Raw genomic sequence first — 6000 nt, forward strand, 5'->3', positions numbered from 1 at the left:
TGTGAGCAAAGGCACAAAGATGGGAAAGCGCAGGATGTTCATTTGTTCCCTTTCAGGGCAGGAATTATTCCTTGGGCATCTTTGCAAACTCTCTGAATAGTTCCTTGAACGTAAGTGGTGCTAAGAATAAACTGCGCCGAGTGGAATAAAATCCCCATCTTCTCCTGCATCCCTCAGAAGTGGGGGTGCCCAGTGGTCATAGAAGACATTAAATCAGAAAGAAACAGGTCTTTCTTTGGTACAGACACATCCAAGATTATAATATTACACACCCTATATAGTCAAGGTTGCTGCAGGAAAGAAATGACATACTCAGACAAGTCCATTGAGGATAATTTAAGGGAGTGCTATTTACAAAGGTGTGGCTATTAAAGGAAACCAACAAGTGGGGTAAGGCACCTTGGCGAGAGCAAAGTTCCATCCCTGGGCATGCTGGGACCAGGGAAGGAGGAGTTACTCTGCATGAGACCGGGGCTGTCCAACCCTTAGATGCATTGCCAAACTGTGTGTGCATGTGTGTGTGCACGTGTGTGTGCATGTGTGTGTGCACGCATGTGTACACATGCATGCATGCAGCAGGGTGATCAGCCCTCTCATCTTCTTCCTCTGGAGTCTCCTGGAAGACCCAGTTGGAAGCCTCCAGGAGCACAGAGCAGGGTGGGGAAGGGAGGAGAGGAGATTGGCAGATGCAGAATATCTAGTACACACCCAAAGTCTCATTTAAATCTCACAACAGCCCAACGAGGATGACTTTAGTATTAACAACCATGTATTATTGGTGAGGAAGATAAGCCCTAAAAGGTTGATTTGCCCAGGATGAAAATGCTGCCACTAGGAAGACATTGATTTTCACTCCATATAGGACCAATTGTTCGGTGTGTATGTGCATGTGTGTCTATGTGGGCAGGGGCAGGTGGTAAGGACAGTGGGACACACAGCAGTCTGAAGCTCTCATGGGCCACCCCAAAATGGAATCCCTGGAGGGGGCTGGAGTAGTCTGGGCCTGGCATTGTGGTTCAGAAACTTAACCCTGGGACTTGGACACAGGAGAAACATTAGGGCTCCAGCCCCAAAAAAGGAGATAGTGGTGAGGAACAGTGAGCTACAGCAGGGACTCTCAAACTTTTGGTCTCAAGATCCCTTTACAGTCTTAAAAATTATGAAGGACCCCAAAGAGCTTTCGTTAATTGGGTTGAATTTCAAACAGTATTTTCTGTATTAGACATTAAGACAACAAAATTTTAAATACTTATTTTCAATTAATTTAAAAATAACATTCTGGCTAATACGGTGAAACCCCATCTCTACTAAAAAATACAAAAAAAAAAAAAAAAAAAATTAGTGGAGCATAGTGGCCAGCGCCTGTAGTCCCAGCTACTCGGGAGGCTGAGGCAGGAGAATGGCGTGAACCTGGGAGGCGGAGCTTGCTGTGAGCCGAGATCGCACCACTGTACTCCAGCCTGGGCGACAGAGAGAGACTCCATCTCAAAAAATAAATAAATAAATAAAATAAAATAAATAAATAAACAAACAGGCCAAGGCAGGAGGATCACTTGAGGCCAGGAGTTAGAGACCAGCCTGGGCAACATAGTGAGACCGTGTCTCCACAAAAAATGGAAAAAACTAGCCATGGCAGAGCATGCTTGTAATCCCAGGTACTCGGGAGGCTGAGGCAGGAGAATTGCTTGGGCCCAAGAGTTTGAGGTTGCAGTGAGCCATGATCTTGCCAGTGCACTTCAACTTGGGTGATAGAGCAAGACCCTATCACTAAAAAAATAAAAAGTAAAATTGCTGGGCACGGTGGCTCACGTCTGTAATCCCAGCACTTTGGGAGGCTGAGGTGGGAGAATCATGTGAGCCCAGGATTTCGAGACAAGCCTGGGCAACATGATAAGACTTCATCTCTACAAAACATACAAAAATTAGCTGGTAGCATGCACTGTAGTTTCAGCTACTCAGGAGGTTGAGGTGGAAGAATTGCTTGAACCCAGGAGGCTGAGACTGCAGTGGGTTGTGATTGCACCATTGCACTCCAGCCTGGGTGACACAGTGAGATCCTGTCTCAAAAATAAAAGAAAATAGTAAACATATTAGATACTAATATAAATAACATATTTTTATGAAAAGTAACATTTTCCAAAACAAAAGAACATCAGTGAGATGAGTGGCATTGTTATACATCTTTACAAATCTCTCTAATGTCTGGCAGAATTTTCCCACCACCTGCTTTTGCAATCAGTCTGTTGGGATATGTTGTTTTGGTTGAAATATGGGAAGAAAATCTGGCCTCATCCAGATATGTAGTTGCAAAAGGTAGGATTTTTTAATAGTTGTTTCAGATAATTGTGGCTATTTATCTTTGATACTACACTTAAACTCAATAAATGGTAGTTTCTTAAAGATTATTTACAATGTGGAATTTGAAACCATATCGACGAACATTTTACACTTGATTTTATGTACTGTATGAAATGCATGAAAATACACTGGTGGTTTTACAGCTTCCAATGATTCCTTTATCCATGTGTAAATCATGCATTGGACATTTGGAAAGTATTATTTCACTGAGTTATGAAGATCTTCCAAATGTTGACACATTTCATTATACAAATTTTTTTTTAAAAAGCCAAGACAGATTTGTTACTATTACCACTGACCTCATCAGGAAAGATCTTAAGTATTGGGATGCTATCAAGTTCATGGTGGTGAACACAAATTTTCCAAAATTCTAATTTTCATGTGAGAGCTCAAATGTTATCGTTGGCCACAAATCTGTCAATCGTTTTGCTTAAAGTGACAGGCTCACTTTGTTCATTTTCAAGACAATTTCTACCAAAAACACAAGTATTAATAACTGTGGCATGTCAGTTGTTTTTTCAGGTAAGAATGGTGTTCTGTGAAAGGAGTGGCTAGCTCAGCTCAAAGCTCAAACAATTGCACAAGCGTTTCTTCTGTGAGACAAGCATCACGTTTCAGCAAAAACGCCGTGTGTGTACTTCTAAGGTAGTCACACAGAATATTAAAAAGATGTGTACTCAAGGGTTGAGATGGAATAAAATTAGTGATTGCTACTGCTTCGTAAAGAATATTCATAAATAAAAATGGCTTTTAAAAAAACTGTGAGGGTGTAGTGACGAGAAAATAAAATGACTATTATCAGACTTCGTACTCTCACTTGGTTGATGTGGGTGTCAACAGTTTCACCCACCAATGCCTTTGCATCCCCAGTGCAAATGTCAGCACCATGAAAAGGACAAATCATGTGTTAGTATTATCATAAACATATTTTGATCTCATGGTCCCCTGAAAGTGTCTCGGGGAACCCCGGAGTCTTCAGCCACACTGAGAAAATCAGGAGTAGATGGCATGAGACCGGGGACGGCAGGGCCCCCCTGCTGGAGGAGCTGCTTCCGGCTTCTGCCCCATGCCCCTCATGGAGGCTGGGCTTTTGTTGCCCACACAGACGGCAGCATGCAGGAGGGTGGGCCAGTGTCGGGTTTGGGGGTTCTGTGTGTGCCAGGGGCCAGGCCATTCATCTGAAGTCTGTGCAGGTTGGAGGACACAGCCTCAGTGGAGAGTGGGGATTGAAAATAAAGGGGAGATTGTCTGGGGCAGCAGTTGCTAGAAGAGGAACCCAGCATGGACACTGGGTTGGGGGCTATTTTCTTAGAAGATACTCAGGAGCCTGCAGGCTGTAGGTGTGCTGAGGTGGCTCAGGGTGCCAGCCCCGCCGGCCTGGTCCAGGGCCTTCACCCCTCAGCGTCTCAGAGCTTTCATTTCCTCCTTTAGGTGCACAGAAATGGGGACTCTGTGAGTGGAGGAAGTCATCTCCCAATCTAGGCTTGTGGATCTGAAGAGGAGATAGGAATTCGTTTTAGGATCTGGATTCAGTAAAATCTTACGTACATATTACAGCTGGTTGGAACTGCACAAGTCCACTTATTCAAGGACTTTTTCCCACCCCTGCCGCCCTGAGACAGCAAGACCAATCTCTTCTCTTCCTCCTCCTCCTTGGCCTACTCAGCATGAAGATGACAAGGATGCAGACCTTTATGATGATCCACTTCCGCCTAATAAATAGTAAATGTATTTTCTCTTCCTCATGATTTTCTTTTCTCTAGCTTACTTTATTGTATGAATGCAGTACATCATACATATACAAAATATGTGTTAATAGACTATTGGTAAGGCTTCTGGTCAACAGTAGACTGTTAGTAGTTAAGTTTTGAGGAGTCAAAAGTTATATATGAATTTTTTTTATTTCAATAGGTTTTTGGGGAACAGGTGGTGTTTGAGTACACGAATAAGTTCTTTAGTGGGGATTTCTGAGATTTTGGTGCACCCATCACCCAAGCAGTGTACACTGTACCCAATGTGTAGTCTTTTCTATGGATTTTGAATTGTGGGGGAATTGGCGCCCCTAAATCCCTCATTGTTCAAGGGTCAAGTGTTCTTTTTTATAAGCAGAATCTTCATACACACAACCCTAATTGATTCTGAAGTCTGATGACTCACAGTTCCCCCATTCAAGCCAATGTTTGGTCTATTCCTTCCTGCCTCCCACCAGAAATTCCTGACACCCTCCTCTTCCACCCCCATGTCAATCCACTTCCCTCCCCTGCTTTACACTTGGCTGAGAATTCACGTCTTCCAGAAATCTTTCTCCATTACTCTTCCCCTCTGTCCTCCCTTGTAGAAACCGCTCTGTGATTAATTTCTAATCCCCTCAGTGTTCATAATACGTGAAGTAACCATCTTTGAACACCACTGTGTGCTCGGTACTATGCTGCCCACCTTACATGTGTTGCTTCTAATTCTCTTAAATTTTTTTTTCTCTTTTTAATTAGAGACGAGGTCGCACTATATTGCCCAGACAGGTCTTAAACTCCTGGGCTCAAGTGATCCTCCCACCTCGGTTCCCCAAAGTGTTTGGATTACAGGCATGAGCCACTGTGCCCGACTCTTCTAATTCTCATAATAAGAGTTACTCTCCTCTCCCCGTCTCTTCCTCTGGCTCTAACATCCAATCTATCAGCAAGCCCTGCTGATTCTACCTCCGATACATAACTTACATTCATTCTCTCTCTATCTCCACAACCACCTCCCTAATCCAAGCCATTTTCCTCTCCTGCCTCTACTACAGCATGGCCTCTTTCTAGTTTCTCTTCCAGCCTCCCACCCACTAGAATATAAGCTCTATGAGAGCAGACCTTGTATGTCATGTTCAGGACTCTATCTCCAGAGCCTAGCACAATGCCTGGCTCATGGGATCTGTTCAATGTTTACTTTTGAATGAATGAATGAATGAACAAATGGAAGAAGTGAATAAATGAAGGAATGTATAGCCATTATGCAGATCCATGAGGCTTATTAACTAATGGGATCCTGATCTCATGGCCTCACTGTGCAAAGGGGCACACTGAGATTCCAGCTATGAGTCTGGGCCACGAAAAGGTACAATTAATTGTAAGCTCCCTGAGAATGGATGATGGCTAACATTTGAACAGGTCCTTGGACCCCAGAACTGCTCTGATTTTGAAAGAGGAGACTCAGATTTCTGAATAGAGTCCATCAGTAATAGTTGTGTGATCTTTTAAATGAGTAATATCACTTACTAGAGTTACTTTCCCAGTCAATTGGGGATGATGATGTACTCATCTATACCTCAATGTAGCGACAGGGAAGCAGAGGGGCTGTGCCTTGGACAGGGGTGGTGGCAGTGGAGTTAGAGAGAAGGCATGAGGTTGAGACATGTGTTGGAGGCAGAATCAACAAGGCTTGCCAGCGTAAGGGGTGATTGTCATCATTCCTGACTGGGGGACTTGGGCTGGACTGCAGTCCAAGGTGAAACACAGCTTCCATTATTTGTGCACCTTTGTTTCAAGGTGATAGTGTCCCTGGTGCTGCCACTTTCTTGTTTGTCCATGAGTAAAGCCTTGGAGTCTCTTTTGGCCTCCCTTTTGTCCAGTGTAGCCTCAGGAGCACTGCGCCTTCCTGGGT

This window comes from Homo sapiens, chromosome 1 (genome assembly GCF_000001405.40).
Source record: "Homo sapiens chromosome 1, GRCh38.p14 Primary Assembly".
In the NCBI taxonomy this organism is placed as follows: domain Eukaryota; kingdom Metazoa; phylum Chordata; class Mammalia; order Primates; family Hominidae; genus Homo; species Homo sapiens.